A 22,238-nucleotide genomic window follows, 5' to 3' on the forward strand; every position below is an offset into this window, starting at 1 on the left:
AGAGAACCGAGAGAGAGGGGCAGAACAGCTCATGAGGGGAAAACCCACTACATACAATCAAGAATACTGCAGACTCCTCATCGAATCTATGTAAGTAAGAAAAAAATGGCCAGGAACTATAGAGCTGTTCTTTAAAGTACTTAAAAACATTTTTGCCAACCTAGAAGTCTTTAACCAGCAAAAATGTCTTCCAAAAAGAAAAAGACTTTTCAGTACAAATACTGAGCTGATTCATTATTAGCACATTTGCACTACATAAGTGTTAAAGAAAATTTCTTTAGTAAAAGAAATATAATACCAGAAGGAAAATTTGATCTATAAAAAAAGAAATTAAGAGTCCCAGAAATATATAAAAATTATGTAAAAATTTTTTGTTTTTTCTCCTTAAAAGATAATTGATTATTTAAAGCAAAAACAATAAAGTGTTATAGGATTTGTGGCACATGTTAAATGTATGCATTTGAAGTAAAATGTATGATAACGGTAGTGCAAAGACAGAAGAGAAAAACTGACTTCTCCTGCTGTACATTCTTTATACTCTACATAGAGCTGTGATAAGTTAAAGATGTGTATTGTAAACTCTAGATGAAATAAAAATTTAAAAAATAAAAATAAGAAGCAAGATGGAACAAGTAGAAAACAAATAGAAAGATGGTGGATTTGATTTTAGTTTTATCAATAATTATATAAATTCAAATAATCTAAACCCCCAGAATTTTTAAAAATGGGAGATAAAAAAACAATAAATATTATGTATTATTTGTTATCATCATTATTTTATAAAGGGACAGGGCATAGATTTGGACAGAAATAGTAAGTTTTACAATAAGAAATGTTACCAGAATTGCATAACATTTCATGATGTTAGAAGGGTCAATTCAACAAGAAGACACAACAATACCAAATATTGCCCAACAATAGAGCTTTAAAATATACAAAGAAGAAATATACAACAGAAAAAAGAAATGGATATATCCCGTTATTGTTGGAGATTGTAGATTCTAACCCATTTTTTCCAGTAACTAATAGAATGAGATAAGAAACCAGCAAAAGGATAGAAGAAAAACAATACTCTTAATCAGATTTACCTGATTGACTTTTCTAAAACAGTCCACTAAACAGCAATATAAAAGACATTGTTAGCAACTGCACATTTAAAACATTCACTAAAATTGATGATAATCTGGGCTATATAAACATGTCTCAGTACATTAAAAAGAATAGAAATCATGCACAGTATGATCTCTAAGCACAACTAAATGAAACTAGAAATAAATAATTTCCAAATGTTCTGAAATGAAACAACACACTTCTAAAAATTCCTGAGTCAAGGAGGAAGTCACAGATGAACTTAGAAAGTATTTCAAAGAGGACGAAGATGAAAACAAAAACAGAATATATCACAATTTGTAGGATGCACTTAAAGTAGCCATTTGGGGAAATGTGATAGTATTACATGCTTATATTACAATGGGAAAAATTCTGAAATTTGTAAATTTCAAATCATTCATGATATGTCAAGTCTTCTCAACTTGTTTTTCTTAAGGACTGTTTTGGCCTTTATTGTGTAGTTTATAAGTTCCACAAAATATATTGGGAATTTATTGGAATTTTGTCAAACGTATATAATTTTGTCAAACTCAAGCATAATATAAATATGTTTGAGAATTAACATTATTATAAAAGTGAGACATTTAGCCTATGAATGTAGTACATATCACCCCTCATTTTGATGTTATTATTGTACAAAAGTTTTATATTATTGTATATAAAGACTTCGTACACTATTTTTAAATTTATTCTTAAATTTTACACTTTTCATGAAATATGAACTTAATCTTATAAATTATTATTTTTAACATTATTGCTGGTGTAAAGAAATACAATTCCTTTGGACAATGAATTTTGTATCTAGTAAACTCATTGAATTTGTTTATTAATTTAATTCATGTACAAATTTTTGGATTTTCTATTTAAATAATCATATTGAATGAAACTACTGCATTTTAATAGTTTCTCATTATTACATTTACATATTTACTCATCTTATTCCTAAACTCAAAGATAATATAATTCACTCTTTAGTATAAGTACATTATACATTTAGTGTAGTACAGGTACATTATGAAGTGTAATGTTTACTAAAGCTTTTCTGTAAAATCTTTCTCAGGCTAAGAACATTTTTTGTTTTTACTAGAATATAATATTAACAAAACATATTCTAGAAAAGCGTAAAATTTACCAAATATTTAGATTTTTAATTTAAGCATCATGGAGAGAAATGACGCTCTCATGGTTGAAATGCAGAGGCTGGAGGCACAGATGTTCTTAGAGCTGCTATATTGTTTGAATCAACAGTGACGTATATAAGCAAAATTCCACAAAACCACAGATTTAACTGCCATTATTATTCAGAAGTATCTGGTGTTACTTCTGGTGTAACAAATGGACTATTGTTAGGATAAAGAATATCCATATGAAAAAGTGCTTTACATAAAGTAGAAACTTAAATAGTAACATAATCTGGGTACAATCCAACAATAATAATTAGAGCTTTGCTTTCCTGGAATACTATGTGCTAACCCTATTCTAAGGGATTTAGATAGAGATTTCACTGATTTCAAGAGAAACGTTTGTCTACTTGTTCAAATTTTAGTATCTGAAACTGCAATGTATCTTACATTAGATAAGCATAACTTAATTTCAGCATTATTTAATATTAGTGCATTAAAAAGTGTATGTCATTACCAATGGCATTTTAGATTTAGTGACATTTTGTATAATTTCATGAAACACTAGACACTATGGAATCAACTATAGTGTAAGGTCTACAAAAGCAGGAAATCCTATTTTAGTTACTCTTATAGGAGTCACTTGATAAATATATGTTGAATGAGTTGTCCAATGAAATAAATAAAGGCACAGCATTCTAGCATCATTCGGGGGGCAGTAGTTCATCCTGTGGCCTCATAACACTTGAGCAATGATGTGGTCATCACTTGGAAATGCTCAATTTAATCAGGTATGTTCATAATGAGGGCTTCTCATTTTTCTGTGAAAATACTAAAATATACTGTCTTTAGGGAGGAAGCAAACAATGTAATAAAATATAGAAAAATAGTTAAGCATGATTCAAATTAAAAGCCCTGGAATTTATAAAAATAAGCTTTATTTGTTAGGGAAAAAATTACATTGTGTAACACTCTATTCCCCATGATTCCTAGTAAATAAGACAATAAACCCTTTAAGAAGAACTTTGTCAGAAACAAAGGATCACTATTTCCCGAAGAGCTGCAAAATACCATAGGCCAGAATTAATGCAGGTGATAACTGAGGTCATAAAAGCCATTTAGACAAGTTGAGTTGACAATGATCTAAGAAGGGCCAGGCCACTCTCCTGTGCCCCCTCCCTAAGCAGCTGCGCATTGCTTTGCTTTGACAACCTCCTTCCCATGCACCCCATCCCACACCCACAGCCCTGCTTGGAACTCTCCTAAGTTCCAGACTCACGTACTCGGCTGCCTCCTAGAGCCCTCTACCTGGAGACGTCCAGAACACTTTGAGTTCAGTATGCTCACAAGTGAAGTCATAAAGAGCCAAGAGTGCAGGATTGGGGTCAGGCAGCCCCACTTCTTAGTTATGCGTAGACTTCTTAGTTTACTTGACCCTTTTCATTTTCAGATTTCATTTCTGTAAAATAGCAATGGGCTTTGTAGAATTGCTTTTAGAGTATTGTAAGATAACTTAGGTAATACCTCTAACAAAGAGTCAAACAGATATTGGACATATAACCAATGTCTGGTACCGGCTTTCCCCTCCTTTCACAAGCTTAATGGCAATGCAGTTAAGTCAAGGACCTGGATCAGAATTACGGCATGAGGAACACACTCCATGTTTGTGCACACCCATTCCTGGATGACTTTTCAAGGGTCTTCTCTTTTCTTCCACCTGACAACAAGTTCTCCAACTTCCCTACTTGGAAGTGGCTGCCTGCCATGAGATAATCCCCTTTCTAATTTGTCCTCCCATGAACAATGCACCCAAGGAGTCCTTCCTCTTACTCCATGTCTCCTTGAGCCTGCAGAATGGAGCTCAAGTTTGCTAGAGCAGCCACGGTTCCCGCACCACCTCCCCTTCTGCCTTGCGGGCTGCCAAGCCTGCGTCCACCGTGCGCATGAACTCCAGCATCAGGAAGTTTCCTGCGTGTGCCCCGTGCTCCTATCTGGGCTCACGTGAACGTGCTCTTCTCTCTTTCTGAAATGCCCCTTTCCTTTGAGCGATTGTGGAAATCCTCCTCATCTTTTACAACTAGTCTCAGATGCACCCTCCTTCCCGAAGCCTCCTCCGAATGGCCTGTCTACACATGGCCCAAACTTGGTTTCAGATCATTAAAATAGAAGGACAAAAATGAATGGTGTGCAGGGAACACACAGACAGCCTGTGGCATGGTTGGAAGCCGTGGTCTGATCTATGGCGAGTCCTGAGACCACGACTGTTCTTTGATTTTTGCTGCAGCCCTGAGAACCCTGTAGGTCTGCTCAGGCATCTTGCTGCTCTTGCAATCGAGCCCTTTGTTTCTCTGCCTATCTTGTTTCCTGCTTTTCACTTTCTTGTTCTCACCTGGCTGATTTGTAAATAATAAAGTAACCGAAGTTAGACAATTCCAGCTACTTAAGATAACTGTGTTTCCAGGGAATCTGTTTCATGCGTAGAGAGGAAAAAATAAGTAGTCACAATCCTGGATTTTCTATGTGAATCAGTTTGCTTAGAGAGCAGCAGCTGTTAAAATATACATGTGATATTTGAGTTCAAACGGGAGCAGAAATTATACTTAGTGTGGGCCAAAGAAAGGCATTTCAACGACAGGGCTCTTTCATCTGGAGTGGCGTGCCTAATTCTGATTTAGAGAAAAGCAGGTCTGATCTTGTGCAGTGGAAAAGGAGGCCTGGGGCTGGGCATCAGAAAATCAGCTTTCAGACACTTCCTCCAGGTTGTAGCTGAGAAACTTGAGGCTCTTTAGTGAGATGAAAAAATAGTAGGCGTCTCATCCAGCACAGAACCATATTGTCACAGTGTACACACAGATGGCTGAAGGCAGAAAACACCACACCAGTTCAGTTCCCCCCAGTGAAACCTATCTTGCCTTGGTGGAAAGAAGTCACCAAATCTGAAGGTTTATCATGAACAGGCAAAAGAGTTTCACTTGTTTTCATGACTCAAAACATTTGGCTTAAACTGCATATCTCTCCATTTTAAATGTAATTTATAATAGGGAAACAGGAGGGAAATATGCAAGATTCTGGAAAACCTGAAGTTTCCATGTTTATCTTTTCTTTAGTTCCTTGCTCTTTAGAGTAAACCAACCCATTCCCTAGATATAGTTATAAAAAATGGCTGGGGTAAGAAAAACAAGTTCGGTGATATTTTTAAAACTGTATGCACAGTCACTTGGAGACCCTTGAATGATGTTAGGAGACTGAGCTTCCCATACTCATTGGGACACACACAGTTGCTCTTGTTTGTAAGAGAGGACGCTTCTGAAGTGTCATTTCCTCTGTTGCTAGTATCGGCCTGCCTTCCCCTTGACCCCTGCCTTGTGGCCACCACTGTATCACATGTCCACACCCTTCCTTGGCTGGGGCCCTGGAAGCCAGGGCATACTGAGTGGGACAGCTGGCAGGGGCTCGGGCTGGTGCGGTCACTGACAAAGAATCCTCCTCCGGCCTGTCAGTGGCAACTCTGCAGCTGTTGGCCCACATACCTGGCATACCTCCATCTCCAGGCAACTGCTGGGTGTGGGCAGGGATCCCAGCAGCACCCACTGGCGTCGGCTGCCTCCCACAATGCCAGCCCCCAGGTAACCAAGAGGAGTCATCCAGGTGTCGGGGAGAGAAGCTGAGAGAAGCAGCGAGGGCGGTGGTTGTGGGAGAGAGGAGGAAGTTGGGAGGGTCACCCACACACTTACGGAAAGCTTGGTGCAAAGAGAAAGAGACCGCCTTTCAAAAACAGCCCTGCTCTACCATCCTGAACCTAGTCCCGATCATGCCTTGAAAAAATAGATTCCCAAGTGGGTCTTGCCTAAATAATGTAAGTGGACGTGGGAAAAGCACGGATTTGTCAGCAGTTTCAGAAGGTTCCTTGCTGCTGGTGACTTTGGAAAACTCCCTTAACCAGCGTGAGCCTCCATGTCCTCCTCCAGAGCAGGGGACTGTGTACCTTCCCCCAGGGAGGCCTGGAAGGATTTTGTTGGGTTTTCCTGATAAACTCACTCAGTGGATGAAAGGGGGGATGTTTGTAAAGTTGTCATATTTATGTTGAATGTAAGATCACTGAACTCTCACTGATATGCAGAAATCAACCTTAACGAGCGCTATCTGCAACACAAGAGATTTGTTTTCATGAGTACACACCTAGACGATGAACCTGTGCACACGACTTCACACTTTAAAAATGTCTCTTTTTTATCTTGCAGTTCTTTAAATACTAACAAGAATGGTTTTAAAAGTGTTTTCAAATGTGAAAAAATACATATGACATAAAATTGATCATTAACCACTTAAGATGTGCGCAGGTCAGTGGCATCATGCACGTTGACAGTGCTGTGAAGCCATGACCACCATCCAGCCACAGAACCCTTTCATCTTGCAAAATTCAAACCCTGCACCCACTGAACAACAACCCCATTTCTCCTTCCCTCCAGCCCCTGGGAAGCACCATTCTATTTTCTCTTGCTATACATTTGACTATTCCAGGTACTTTATATTACTTTTAATGGCAAAAACCACAATAACTTCGCACCAACCTAAAATGAGTTGAATCACGTAGTATTTATTTGTTTGTCTGTTTGTTTATTTTTTTGACTGGCTCACTTCGCTTAGCATAATGTCCATTGTTTATTATCAGCAATTACATTTTAAAATTTCTAATCTTGGAAAAAGAGGCATACTGTTGTCAATGAGAGGTCAGCAGTTTCAGAATATATGAATAGATGACAGACACAATAGACTTAAAAATTATTACCATTCGTTGTGCCAAGAAAACTTGCAAAAGTGTTCTTTCTCTGATGTAAGCATGCCAAAGGTCTGAATGTGTACACAGGTATGTTACTTCCCCCACTCCTCTTTTCTTTCATTTTTATCTTTACTTTTTTCTAGGTAAGGACCGATTTTATTGTGGGGTGAAAAGTAACATAGAGCTGTACATTTTAAAGTGACTTGTATTCTCTATGTTAAGCTCAGTAAGTTGCCTCTGCTGCAGGTTGTAGGTATCTGTGTTTAGCCCTGCATTCTATCTGCCCATTTCCCGTCTTTAGCACAGCTTGCCTCTCCCCATCCCCACAACCCTGCCTAATTCTACTTGCTTTCTTTGACTCACTCATGAAGATTAAGTAGGTACTAAGTAAAATACAAGTATTTTACTTATATCTAAATCTCATGCCTTTTTAACAATATCAATATTACTTTTCTCACTTCAGAGATAAGGAAACTGAGGCTCAAAGATCTTATGTAACTGCCTATAGCCTAGCATCCATCTCAATGGGCGTCAAGAACTAGATCGAGTGTGTTTTGAGACAAATCCCAGAGGCTGCCCTGCACAGGATGTGGCAATCATCACTGCCTTAGTCATCTGACTTTTGCTTTTGGTTTGTGTGCTTGTTTGAGACAAGAGTCTTGCTCTGTCACCCAGGCTGGAGTGCAGTGGCACAATCACTGCCTCCTGCAACCCTTGCCTCCTTGGTTCAAGTGATTCTCCTCCCTCAGCCTCCCAAGTAGCTGGGATTATAGGTATATCCCACCACACCCAGCTAATTTGTGTGTGTGTGTGTGTGTGTGTGTGTGTGTGTGTGTGTGTGTTTAGTAGAGATGGGGTTTCACCATGTTGGCCATGCTGGTCTCTTAACTCCTGACCTCAAGTTATCTGCCCACCTCGGCCTCCTAAAGTGTTGGGAATACAGGCATAAGCCACCATGCCCGGCCCTGACTTTTGCTTTCTATTGGGCTTACCTGTGTATTCTCACACTCTCGGGAGAACTCAACACTCCTGAAGAACACAGCCCATGACTCCTCATTTCTGTCTCCTGGCAAAGGCTAGCACAATATTTTGTGCAAAGGTTTTGCTTTCTTAATGATAAGTGAATGAAATATGGAAAAGTTTTAACATAAAAATATATTCAAGTTAGCATTTTGCCTGAAATTTATACTTAATTACATCTAGGAAATTAAGTGTACATGATCAACATATATGTATATATCATTTTCCTATTTGAGTACTGACAAGATGGAGGAAAGACAAGGAAAAGCTGGAGAATTTGAAATATGCACGAGGTCATTTCCGTTCCAGAAATAGGAGACATAAAGTAGAGGTCGAGATCATTGACAGTGGGCTTTCTCGAGTCGGGTAGAGAAGGGGTCAGTCCTTCTAGAGCTGGATCCAACCATGTGTGGCTCTCTACCCAAGGGTATCCACCTGCTCTCCATTCCCTCATCTGTCCACTGGGGTGCACACAGCACCTCTCATGGGAATTAAAAACGGTGGTGCCTGAGCAGCTTTCAAGGAGCCAGTGGCACTCGCTGCTCAGTGCACATGAGCTAGAGAGGAGTGGAGGCCTCAGCACAGGGCCTGGTACTAACTCGAGAGATATTTGTTGTGCCCTATACCCAGCAGATACTGAGTACATGCTCAATGTTGTCATTATTTTGATAGATATTTTCTTAAATCTGGATTATCATCCTTCAGTTTGGATAAGACAGACAATATTGATGGGTTGGGGTACTTTGTCAAAGAATGTAAAGAAAGATAATGTGAAGAAAGGCAATTTTGTGATTAAAAAGGAAGCTTTATTCTTAGATTTGTTAATAAGTGTCTCTTACTGAATTATTTGCTTATTAGGCAAAACAGTGATATCATTGAATCATTCTAAAATTCCTTCCCTTTTATGTCTTGAGGTTATGAACACATGTAAGGCACCTCACCTGGCATCTGACAAACTCAACGAGACAATGAATGAACCAGAATAAATAATCATCTATTTTTTTTTCTCCCTGAACATTTCTACAGTTGAGACAGTCTTAGAATTTCTCTCTTGCATGCCAGGATATTAGACTGTTGAAATTGAATTCTTTTTTTTTTTTTTTTTTTTTTTGAGACGGAGTCTCGCTCTGTCCCCCAGGCTAGAGTGCAGTGGTGTGATCTCGGCTCACTGCAACCTCCGCCTCCAAGGTTCACGCCATTCTCCTGCCTCAGCTTCCGGAGTAACTGGGACTACAGGCACCCGCCACGACACCTAACTAATTTTTTTGTATTTTTTAGTAGAGACGGGGTTTCACCGTGTTAGCCACGATGGTCTTGATCTCCTGACCTCGTGATCCGCCTGCCTCGGCCTCCCAAAGTGCTGGAATTACAGGTGTCAACCACCGCGCCCGGCTGAAATTGAATTTCTTTCTTTTCACCAGCTCGAATTTCTTCTTCTCATGTAAGGTCATCTTACATAAGTGAGACTCCTTTGTTCCCTTTCCCTTAATAACAAGCCTACACGGAGGTGAAGGTGGTGAACGCACCTCTTCTCATCTCAAAACATCCACGTGCTCTTCCATTTTTTTCTAACAAAGAAGGGAGAGGAGGTGACATGAAAACACACCACGGATATTGTTCAGCATTTGTAAAAGCTGAAAGTATCACTTGGTAGACAAACTGCTTTTTGCACTACAACCTCCAGAAGAAAGCGCGAACGCAATTCCCCACCACCACAAATTACAGTCCAGTTTCCCCACATGTGGAAGTAACAGGAGTCAGTCAGCACATACTGAGTACAATGGAGAAATCGCCCCCGAGAAACATCAACTTCATGGCCGTATTTTCTCCTGTTACGTAAGTACGAATGAACGCACCTCCGCCCTGCCACAGCTCCATACGCCTCACCCCTTACACGCACGGTCACTTGCCCCGCGCATTCCCCCACCCCGCCCCCATGCCGCCTCAAGTCCTCCTAGCCCTGACACACAGCTGGGACTATCACGTCCAACCGGAGGTCCTGGACTAGCTCCCACAGCACGAGAAATCTTTCGTGGCGAAGCAGCAGCCCCTGAGCTGCCTCCTCTGCATAGGAATCGCCCTATCTGTGATGTCACCGACAGCGCCTTTCCCGTCCCCGTCTGCTCTTCCGCCCCACCCTCTGCCACTCGGCCGACCAACCAGCTGCGGGAGCGGGCGGAGGAAGTGACACCTGACTCTACCTCCTTTCCCTCCCATCCCCGTCCCTGGTCTCTCCCAAAGAAGTAGGTTCTTAGCCTGTGATGCAAAGGACCCCTTTGGCGGCCAGCTGGAGCCTGTGCGCTTTTCTTCAAATAATGGCTTTTAAAGCTCAGACTAGAAAGTTTAGGATTACAAAGAAAAACGGTTTTCACATACGGTTATCCTTGTGATGTAGCATTTCGCTTGACATTTGGAAGTCGTTCAATATCAGAGAGAAACCGTATCTATGAAACTAGAGAGGCTGCTCAGATGACTGCAAACCAGCCATCCTTACTTGTTTTATCACTAGGAGTATTATAAAGACGGTCGTCCAGTTTCATGAATCTTGTAGGGTTTTTTTCAGATACAGCAATGTACAAAAATGTGCTGCCCCAGCAGAGCACACTGGACACTCAGGCATGGTGCTGGAGTTTGTCATCTCTTCACTGCCTTCTCTAGACCTTAGCGCTTACCTCATGTTAACACTTTATATGCTGCGAAGACAGAAACACAGTCATCCAAATTTGGCAAAAATATTTGGGAGAAGTTTTATTTCAGGTGTTTAACTGATTACTTTTAATATGTAGACTACAACACCAAACTCTGAGAATACTCCACAGACTTATTAATGGTTTCCACCCCCGTCTCTGCAAATCTATCAGGCAAGTTTTTCCTGCCCTTTACTTTCATATAAGCTGAGTCACAGTCTGTAGTGGGTTTTGGGGGGAGTGTTACTGCCCAACAGGTACACCCTGCCTGCTGCCTAGACAGAGCCAATTTTTCGACACAGGGGAATTGCAATAAAGAGCTGCACTCTTTATTTGGTGATTGGGGGCCGGTGAATTGAGAGTTCTGCTTGGCCAGGTCGGAGATGAAATCACAGGGAGCTGAAGCTGTGGTCTTGTGCTGGGTCAGTTCCTGCTTGGGGGCCACAAGACCAGCTGAGCCAGGTTATCAGTCTAGCTGGTGCCAGCTGATCCACTGAGTGCAGGGTCGGCAAAATATCTCAAGCACTGATCTTAGGTTTTCCAATAACGATGTGATCTCCAGGAACAATTTGGGGAGGTTTAGAATCTTGCAGCCAGAGGCTACATGACTCCTAAACCATAATTTCTAATCTCGTGGCTAATTTGTTAGTCCGGCAAAGGCAGTCTAGTCCCCAGGCAGGAAGGGGGTTTGCTTCCGGACAGGGATATTATCATCTTTGTTTCACAGCTAAACCATAAACTAATTTCCTCCCAAAGTTATTTCGGCCTGTGCCCAGCAATCAACAAGGACAGCTTGTACGTTAGAAGCAAGATGGAATCAGTTAGATCAGATCTCTTTCACTGTGGTAATTGTCCCAGTTGTAATTTTTGCAAAGGCGGTTGCAGAAGCAGAGGCATAGGTCTGACTTCTTTCACTCAGTCCTATGTCTATGAATTTTTCATGTTATTCATATGGTTATTTGGTTCTACGTGTATTCCTTTGTAGGAATATACATTAACTTATGTATTTATTCTACTGTTGTTGAACATGTTGACCTAAAAGAAGGAGGCTGAAGCACAAAATATAATTTAGAGTTTACTTGAGTCAACATGAAGACAACTGCCTGGAAGACTCACACCAAGGAAGCTTGGATCTGAGCTCCCTTTGGTCTTTGTCACAAGCAGGTTTTTATTTTTTATTTTTTATTTTTTATTTATTTATTTATTTTGAGACGGAGTCTCACTCTGTCGCCCAGGCTGGAGTGCAGTGGCGCGAACTCTGCTCCGCCTCCCGGGTTCTCGCCATTCTCCTGCCTCAGCCTCCCTAGTAGCTGGGATTACAGGCACCCGCCACCACGCCCAGCTAATTTTTTTTGTATTTTTTTAATAGAGACGGGGTTTCACCGTGTTAGCCAGGATGGTCTCGATCTCCTGACCTCATGATCCGCCTGCCTCGGCCTCCCAAAGTGCTGGGATTACAAGCGTGAGCCACCGCACCCTGCCCACAAGCAGGTTTTTAAAGTTCAAAAGCAGGGACAGACAGTGGGCTGATAGGTGCCTATCAGGAATTCTCATTGGTTTACAGAAATAACATTGCTTGGTGATTGGCTATATGTTGTTAAGTTATAGGGTATGGGGGTATAGGGATTGGTGTGGCATTATTAGGTTAATTTACAGCTACTTGAGGCAATAGCAAGCAGTTTCAACGGATGAATACATAGCTCAGCGCAGCTCAAAAGGAAGGAGCGGAAAGTGGTTGCTGTCTCGATTTAACGTCTCTCTGGGCCTGATCATTTGAAAGGGCTCACATTCCTCAGATAAAAAGTTTTTTTAATCTTTCTTCTTGAAAGCATCGATGATCAAAAGCTAAGTCAAGGGTGTCCCTCTTTGCCAGAAAGGCTCATTCCCGGATAGTCCTGTCCCAAGCAGGGGACAGGGGAGGAAAGAAGCCACCTCACTGAGGAATTTTTAAGAATGCCCAAAAGTCCAATTGAAAGGGCATTACAGCCAGGCATGGTGGCTCACACCTGTAGTCCCAGCACTTCAGGAGGCCAAGATAGGTGGATTGCCTGAGTCCAGGAGTTCAAAACCAGCCTGGGCAACATGGTGAAACCCCATCTCTACAAAAAATACAAAGTTAGCCAGGTGTAGTGGCACACACCTTAGTCCCAGCTATTCAGGAGGCTGAGGTAGGAGGACTGCTTGAGCCTGGGAGTTTGAGGCTGCACTGAGCTAATATCACACCACTGCACTCCAGCCTGGGTGACAGAGTGAGACTCGGTCTTAAAAAAAAAAGGGCATCATAGAGTGGCAAAAAAAAAAAAAAAGAGAGAGAGAGAGAGGGGCCTCAGTTAAGTCTACAGCTGCTGTCACTTATTGAATCATCTCTACTCTTCAGAATACCATGAAATTAGTTTTCCCAGAAGTAAAACGATGAGAGATACATAACAATAATGACATTGCACTTCATCATTCCATGCCCTTCGACATTTATAGGGCCATGGATGGTGATCTTTTCAAGAGACAAAAATAAACGCCGAACAGGTAAGTGCGCTATAATTTGAGTACATCAGCTTTTGGGCATTTAAACCATGGGTCAGAAATTTAGAGCAAGAGGGCAGGTTGGATCCTGATAGCAGGAGGGAGTGTTTTTCTTTTAACTTTCCAGTGGCATCATGGTGTTAACCACTGTTATTTCAGAGTGAAGAAACAATTTTTTGTTTGGTTGGTTTTGTACTTTTTATTTTTATTATAATTACTTTTTAAGACAAGGACTCTGTCTCCCAGGCTGGAATTCAGTGACAAGATCACAGCTCAGTACAGCCTTGACCTCTTGACCTCCAAGGCTCAATGGCTCATCCTCCCAAGCAGCTGGGCCTACAGGCACACACCACCACACGCAGCTTATTTATTTATTTTTTGAGACAGGGTCTCACTCTGTTGCCCAGGCTGGAGTGCAGTGGCGTCATCAGGGTTCGCTGCAGGCTTGAACTCCTTAGCTCAAGTCATCCTCTCACCTCATGCTCCTGAGTAGCTGGGACTACAGGTGGGCACCACCACACCCAGCTAATTTGTATATATTTTATAGAGTCAGTGTTTCACCATTTTGCCCAGGCTAGTCTCAAACCCCTGTGCTCAAGTGATCCTTCTGCCTTGGCCTCCCAAAGTGCTGGGATTACAGGCAGTTATTTTGACAATACGATTATGATGGGTTAAACTGAGACGTGCGGCAGGAAGGTTAGGGTGAGTCAGACAGATTAGATAAACAGGTTTTGCTTGATATGACCCTGAGTTGCATCGTGAGTGCAATCAGGAGGAATACAGGTGAAATTTAGCACAGGATGTACCAATGGGTCATTATGGTCAAAAGTGGTTTGTGGTTTTGAGTGGCAAACCTGGAACCTTGTCAAATTTCCCACAGAGGTAATGGTTTGTGAGATTCTAATCAGAGAATTATCCCTCCCTGCTGTAATCAAATTAATTAGGGACAGTAAAACAGAAATCTGATCACAGGTATTCTGCTATGTATGTATGTATGTATATGTATATACACATACACGCAAGAGGAGTAGTGTGTCATATCTTAAGAGAATATGCATATAGGGTGATTTTACCAAAACCACCAAGAGACAACCCCTACAACTTAAAGGAGCCCTAATGGTGTATGTATTCCAGTCAGCAAAAAAGAGACTAACTCTCTCAGGCACGGTCAGCACTGGAATTGTAACTGATTATACAGGCCAGTATCTTGGGTGAAAGTGGACTACACCAGATGTCAGCTACTTGCCATCTCTGTCAGGAAGATTGTGAGTTACCTCTAAGTGAAAATCTCCACTGACAGATGTCCACTCTGGTAGGGTTGCCTTTTACAAGAGAAACATGAATCCATGTGTCAACGCCCTTAAGTTTACTGGCACAGATTGGTCAGTAATACCTGTCGTCAGTTAGGTGCAGTGGCCTATGCCTGTGGTCCCAAATATTTGGAAGGTTGAGGCAGAAGGGTGGCTTGAGCCCAGGAGTTCAAGGCTACAGTGAGTCATGATTGTGCCACTGCATTCTGGCTTGGGGAATAGAATGAGATCCCATCTCCAAAAAAATATATAAAGTAATAATAATAGCTGATGTGGTCCCTTCCAACAGTCTTGGGGAGAATATTTTATTTGATGTTGTTTCCAGTAAACAACAACATCTCCAGTTTATAGGCCAAGATTTTTGATATTTTCATCTCCCAGGAGTTCATTATGAATGGAATTCTTTGTTAATGTAGAGTTCTTAGTAAGTTCTGTGAGATCTTAGCAGTAATGGAGAATGTCACCTTTAAGAAGTGCAGATTCATAAGCGCCTTCATCTAACCACTGCAAGGGTCTTCCTGTTATTATTTCAAAGAGGGAGAGTGTGGACATTTTCCACAACCAGTGGGAGATCCTTGTCCAAGAAAGGTTAAAAACTTCTGTTAGCTTTGCCAATTGAGTTTTTATTGTATCATTAGTGCATTCCATCGGCCCAGAGGATTAGGGGTGACAGGCACAATGGAAATGTTGGGACTTAGGCAAAAATGTTACAAATGGATCAAATTACCTGACCAACAAAGTGTGTTCCTCGGTTTCTATGGAGTTCAGATGGCACCCCCCATGAGGAATTACCTTTTCTAATCACAATCTACCTACTACTTGGGCTGTGGCTCATCGGCATGGAAATGCTCACCCCAGTGAGCATATACAAATTAGCACCAGAAAGTATCTGTGACCCTGAGATGGAGACAGCTGGATAAAGTCTAACTGCCATGTCTCGAAGGGTCCCAAAGGCAAAATGTCCCTGTGACCCATGAAGGGGTTTTCCAGGATTATGTTTGGGACAGACAGTATGGCAAGACTAAACATTTTCTGCAATCATAGGCAATGATTTTCAATACCATTGCTTTCCCCATGCCAACATTTTGTCTGAATTCCAATGAGTCAGCTTATGAAGTACTGTAAAAGGGTAATTGAAGCCTAAGGGATAGATCAGTGTATCATTGGGCCCATACCATATGACTGTTTCTGGAAGAAATTTGTTCCCTTTATCCTTCCAGAGATCCCTCTCCTGCTTGGGAGCTCCCACTTATGCTTCTTTTTTTTTTTTTGCCAGAGTCTTGCTCTGTCACCCAGGCTGGAGTGCAGTGGTGCAATCTCACCTCACTGCAACCTCCGCCTCCCAGGTTCAAGCAATTCTCATGCCTCTGCCTCCCAAGTAGCAGGGATTATAGACATGTGTCACCACACCAGCTAATTTTTGTATTTTTAGTAGAGACAGGATTTCACCATGTTGGCCAGGCTGGTCTCAAACTCCTGACCTCAGGTGATCCACCAGCCTTGGCCTCCCAAAGTGCTGGGATTACAGGCATGAGCCACCATGCCCAGCCCACTTGTACTTCTAATGAAGTCTTCAATGGGTCATAAGTCAGCAAGGTCATTTCGAGGAGTTCTGTGTCTGATGTCACCTTCAGAGCTGCATTCTTAGCTGCAGCATCAGCAAAATGATTGTCCTTGCTCTCCAGAATGTCTAATTTTGAATGAACACGAATTTTGATGATGGCCAAAATTTGGGTCTTCAAATTGCTTCTAAGAGGTCAGAGATTTATTGGTCATTTTTGATGGCTTGACCTGATGAAATCAGATACCTATGTTGCTTCTAAAGCATTCCAAAATCATCACCTACTCCAAATGCATCTCTGCTCCCAGTGTAAATGTTAGGCTGAGGTGGAAGGATTGATTGAGCCCAGAAGTTCATTCAGGTCCAGCCTGGAAAACACAGCAAGATGTCCTCTCTACAAAAAAAAAAATCAAAGAATTAGCTGGGCATTGTGGCATGCACCTGTGGTCCCAGCTACTCGGGAGGCTGAGGTGGGAGGATTGCTAGAGCTGAGAGGTTGAGGATGTGGTGGGCCATGATGGAGCCACTGCACTCCAGCCTGGGTGACAGAGTGAGGCCCTGTCTCAATCAATCAATCAATAAATCTTAACCACTTAAAATACCAATGACAGATTTGCTTGGCCTTTTAAGTGCATTGCTGAATTCTCCAATCTACATTTTTGGGAACAACCTGGGGAATGGCAACATGGAGGTATTTGGCCAAAATGCAGACCCTTTCATTGTCTGCTTTAGTCTGTTTTTAAAAATCCTCTAAAGAATTATTCCAATTCGCCCTTTTCAACCATTTAGTGGCCCTGCCTTCTTACACCACATGTGAATTAATTGATAAAAATCAGAATATTCGGGCTAAAAGTTTGGACAATTAAGTCAAATTTTCTCCCAAACCCTATAGGATCTTGGAGGCTGCTTTAGAATTAGAAGGGGAAATTGATTTAAATTTCGATCAGGGAAGTCTTTTTTATTATTTATTTATTTATGTATGTATTTTGATACAAAGTCTTGCTCTGTCACCCAGGCTGGAGTGCAATGGTGCAATCTTGGCTCACTGCAACCTCCACTTCCCGAGTTAAAGCGATTCTCCTGCATCAGCCTCCCGAGTTGCTGGGATTGCAGTCATGTACCACCATGACCGGCTAATTTTTGTATTTTTAGTAGAGACGGGGTTATGCCATGTTGGCCAGGCTGGTCTCGAACTCCTGACCTCAGGTGATCCACCCACCTCAGCCTCCCAAAGTGCTGGGATTACAGGCATGAGCCACTGCACCTGGCCTGGTTAAAATTTTTTAAATGAGAAGTCATAAGATCTGGTTACATCACTCTATATGTTTGTGTATGTGTACATGTGTGTATCTATGTTATTATGTTATGTATATGTGATATTTTTCTACCTCCAACGTTATTACCAAACTAAAATACCCAAATTGGCTAGGGATAAATGAGCACTCAAACAAATAAGAATGTATAAAATTTTCAGAAAAGTAGAAACTGACCCAATTTTTTTTAAGTTCACATAATCTGGGATATTCTTTAGTAAATAAAAACTAGTTTAAAAAATATTGGTAAAATAAAAATAGAAACATTTTCAGAATTGTCAGCATACACTTGTTTTACCTGGCTTTGCTGATTAGACAAGTTTGTGTTGTTACTGTTAGATGTTTAAGGCCATAAAACCATAAATTCAACCTAAGAGTAAAATATGTAGTAAAAGTAAATTGCTTAATTGTCTGGTGTATGTCTGTTGCAAAAGTAAATAAGAAAAGATGTCTAGAAGGATTGTGAAAATCTTATCTTGTATGGTCTAAGCTGACTGAGATTGGATAGATTTATTTATAAGGTTTTATTAAAACTTAGTTTTAGTAATACATTGATTCAAAAGTAGAATTTGATCTTCTCCGTTAAAATGGTAAAGTTTTCTTGGAATGTTGGTCTGAGAATGTAAAGGGTATTTTTTTCCTTTTAAGTAATTGGCCTCAGAAACAGAGACTCTGTTTCATCAAGATAATTTCTTGAGTTTCATGTTGTTTTATTAGGTTTTTGGTTACTTAAGAAAAGTGAGTCTTCTCAATATTAAAGGAGCTAAGTTCTTGTTCACAACTATGTAATCTGAATTTGCCTTTAAAATCTTTTAATGGAGCTTTTATTAAATAGATAACTATGGTCATATTTGTTTTAAATGTTTTAAACTTTTTGACATTTTTGACAATCTTCCCAAAATCACATTCTAAGTTAAGTCTTTTTGACCTCAAATTAACTTAGGATTCTCCATGTTGGACCCTCAGAAAGCCACAAAGAATATTTTTTTTTGTATGAAAGAGAGATTAAACCAATTAGATTTATTTAATATGCTAAATTATATGTGTAGCATTCAAATAAAAAGTGATGCTAAGCCATCTTTAAGTTATATTTATGGATATATTATTGGGATAAGTGTACAAAAGTTGTATGAGATTCCTAGAAATCTAGTATGTTATCAGTCATAATTTTGGTTATTATGTTAAAATGCTGTATGCCATGCTAACCAAATTTTCTTATAAATTGCATCATTGTAATGAACTCTCATTAGATTTTTTAACCATGGACATTTTAAGTCCTTGTCATCTGTAGACAGTTATTGTTTTAATTTAATTGTTCTCTAAAAGCATTTGAAATTAGCTACAGTCCAAAATGGCTTCTTCTTCAAGGAGATTTATGGAAAATACTCTTATGAGTATTCTGGAATACAGGTTTCTGAACAACTTTAACGTCATACAATTGGACTGATAAGAATTTCCAGAACTCTAATAAAACTGATGGGTTCATGTAACTACTAACCCAAGATCAAGCAAAACAAGATTGAATTACATGGTACTGAATGAACTGATGAGAATAATTTTTAAAATGACTTTTTGTTGGAAACATTGCTAGTTCTTTAAATGTTTTGTTTTCCAGATTTCAGAAAACTTTCTTTTAAGCTATCTCTAGCTTACACCAATTCAGTAAAGAATACTTTTGTGCAAAATGGAAACATTTACTTTTTCCCCCTAACTTATCCCTCCAGAATTTGGAAACTATTTGTGCATATTCTTATTTTTATGGCAAAGTATTTATTTGCATAAGTTTAATAAGAATCTGTTGTCTTTGTAACAGGACAAACTGGAAACACAGGTTATATCACCAAGGCTTTGACTGAAACATCATGTTTTCAGATATGACCAGAAGGCTTTAGGGGACTAAAGTTGGCTTTATGGAACCAATAAAGTACCATCTTGGAAAAACTGGCTCTAGGGTTCCCAGACTTACAAGTAAGTAAAGAATGTCACTGCTTGGTGGGTCTGGAAACCTTGGGATATTTTAGGGACCTCAAGAAGAGAGAAATTTATCTAAATCTATAAATGTAACAGGTGCAGACTAATGACAAGTTTTGGGCTTGTATCCCAGCCTCAAGTGGCTTTTAAAAGTTTAATCTGACTGGAGACAGTGGCTCACCCCTGTAATCCCAGCACTTTGGGAGGCCAAGTCAGGTGGATGACGAGGTCAGGAGTTCAAGACCAGCCTGACCAATATGGTGAAAGCCCTGTCTCTACTAAAACTACAAAAAATGAGCCAGGCATAGTGGCACGCACCTATAATCCCAGCTACTCGGGAGGCTGAGCAGAAGAATCGCTTGAACCCAGGAGGCGGAGGTTGCAGTGAGCCAAGATCGCACCACTGCACTCCAGCCTGAGAGACAGAGGGAGACTCTGTCTAAAAAAACAAAAACAAAAAGTTTAATCTGAGATTTCTTATCTGACAAACGCAACCTTTAAAAGAGCCTAAATGGTCAATCACTACTCTTAACTGCACTTGTGTACATAACCAGTACAAGTTTAATGAGATTAAACTTATTTAGCAAACAAATCAATCTGACTTTGATTATCTTTGACAGAAATGAGAGTGAATATAGAGAGAAAAGTTATGTTTCGGGAGAAAACTGCAGTGCACCCAATATTAGATTCTAGCTGTTTTTTTTTTTTTCCTGAGGTTTTATTATCTGCCTGCAATCTGCAATAGATCCTCAATTTTTCTAGTTTACTACAATATTTAGCTACAACACTCCAAATTAATATTTCATTTTTTTCCTGCTATTCTGGCTTGGAATCACTAAAATTATAAACTTTTCATTTCTTGAAGTCCTTCAAACTGAAACTGGATGACTTGACATAAGCTTCAGAAAAATTACCACAACAGCTTGTGTGTGGCCCATCTTTATGACATTCAAACTGCAAACTAATCCAATGCCTCTTCTCACTCCAGCTGAAGATACTACAAGCCCAGCATCTAGAAATCTTATTGACCAGCTGCCCTCTGGGCTCAGAAACTGTCTTTATAGTTCGTTCCAACTATTAATCTTTTTTAATTTTATTTTTATAGAAACTAAACTTCCCACATTAAAGGCCCGATAGCTCACACTATCCAGGAAATATCCTCTGCTACCAAGTCCCAACAGATGATTCAACTGGTCCTTAATGAATAAAAGGTGATCAAACAAGAAAAGAGACTTATATTGTTTGAAGGAAAGATGAGTGTCTCTTCTTTCCTTAAACAAGAAGTAGTACTAACAAAGATTCCTTGCTAGGACAAACTTTAGTCAGATGTCTATCTTCCTTGCAAAATCCAACTTTTTTTTTTTTATGTGGTACAATGTGATGTTTTGTTCTTTTTTTTAAATTTATTATTATTATACTTTAAGTTTTAGGGTACATGTGCACAATGTGCAGGTTAGTTACATATGCATACATGCGCCATGCTGGTGCGCTGCACCCACTAACTCGTCATCTAGCATTAGGTATATCTCCCAGTGATATCCCTCCCACCTCCCCCCAACCCACAACAGTCCCCAGAGTGTGATGTTCCCCTTCCTGTGTCCATGTGTTCTCATTGTTCAATTCCCACCTATAAGTGAGAATATGCGGTGTTTGGTTTTTTGTTCTTGCGATAGTTTACTGAGAATGATGATTTCCAATTTCATCTATGTCCCTACAAAGGACATGAACTCATCCTTTTTTATGGCTGCATAGTATTCCATGGTGTATATGTGCCACATTTTCTTAATCCAGTCTATCATTGTTGGACATTTGGGTTGGTTCCAAGTCTTTGCTATTGTGAATAGTGCCGCAATAAACATACGTGTGCATGTGTCTTTATAGCAGCATGATTTATAGTCCTTTGGGTACATACCCAGTAATGGGATGGCTGGGTCAAATGGTATTTCTAATTCTAGATAGAATGTTTCCTCTTATAACTCATAGTGAATATGACTGGACAATGAAACTATTTTGTAATTTCTTTCCTGAAAGATAAAGGCGTTAGAACATAGAATCTTTCATTGATTCTACAGAATCTTAAGACTCCTTCAGAGATGGCAGTCATTCCTACCGTGCTGAACATCATGTTGTCACGGTCAGAATCAGAACTAAATTGATTAAGGGTCTGAAACAGTTTGGCACTCTTGGGCACTTATTCTGATAAGAAAGCTGATGAGACAGGGTAATGAAAAGAGGCTGCAAGAAATGACCATTCATGCATTCAGCCAACATTTAGGCCACCCTCCTGTATTCCAGGCACTGTACGTGGCACTGAGAATGCAAAGCAAAACGAGTCATGGTCTACTGGCGGGAGCCTTCTCAGCGGAGAAAAGATCAACAAGAAAAGTGCCTGCTGGAGATCCCTCCTAGGGCATAAACCAATATAGAGGTGGGGCAGCTACGTCAGCCTGAGGTGTCCTTAGGCAGAACAGAAAGTGAGAATCAGAGCAGTATCTCATTTCTGAACACCTGGATGGTAGCTTTCCCTGGACTGACTGTCAAAGGAGGTGGTTTTAAAAAGCAAGCCAAACAGGTTTCCATCCTTTAGGAAGACCCTGGAACGTGCCAGTTGATTCCGACAATTTCTCATGAACAGAAACACCTAGGAAGGGAGAACTGGTGAGTCTTTTCAAGAGGAGGAAGTCCCTCAAAAGGGGCTGTGTTTCGCAAACGGCGCCCCAAAAGGGCTGAAATACTTCGATCTGGAGGAAAAAGACTCAGGCACTGAGGGAAGGGGAGGGTGCACATCTGGAGTAATTTCAAGGCTTTTTCCGTGTTATCTGAGGTGGCAACAAGTAAAGATTTG

The 22,238-nt window shown here is 40.4% G+C and overlaps 1 protein-coding gene and 1 pseudogene across 1 annotated transcript, besides 1 other annotated feature; one reads left to right on the forward strand and one right to left on the reverse strand.

The window, feature by feature from the left end:
* Positions 1-2,986: 2,986 nt before the first annotated feature.
* On the forward strand, positions 2,987-11,112 carry LOC124904581 (uncharacterized). The gene is made up of 4 exons (XM_047439510.1): positions 2,987-3,022; positions 5,783-5,857; positions 9,673-10,274; positions 10,818-11,112. Exons 1-4 carry the CDS (start codon positions 2,987-2,989, stop codon positions 10,927-10,929), a joined length of 825 nt encoding a protein of 274 aa, XP_047295466.1. The 3' UTR covers positions 10,930-11,112.
* Positions 7,674-7,837: a silencer, noted in NCBI's record as "fragment chr1:144536074-144536237 (GRCh37/hg19 assembly coordinates)". NCBI's record gives its function as "represses an EF-1alpha promoter that drives an FKBP-Casp9 reporter gene in an ReSE screen in HepG2 liver carcinoma cells {active_cell/tissue: HepG2}" and the evidence as "EXISTENCE:reporter gene assay evidence [ECO:0000049][PMID:32094911]".
* Positions 9,714-9,875, reverse strand: RNVU1-24 (RNA, variant U1 small nuclear 24; annotated as a pseudogene).
* Positions 11,113-22,238: the final 11,126 nt, after the last annotated feature.

This window comes from Homo sapiens, chromosome 1, assembly GCF_000001405.40.
Source record: "Homo sapiens chromosome 1, GRCh38.p14 Primary Assembly".
In the NCBI taxonomy this organism is placed as follows: domain Eukaryota; kingdom Metazoa; phylum Chordata; class Mammalia; order Primates; family Hominidae; genus Homo; species Homo sapiens.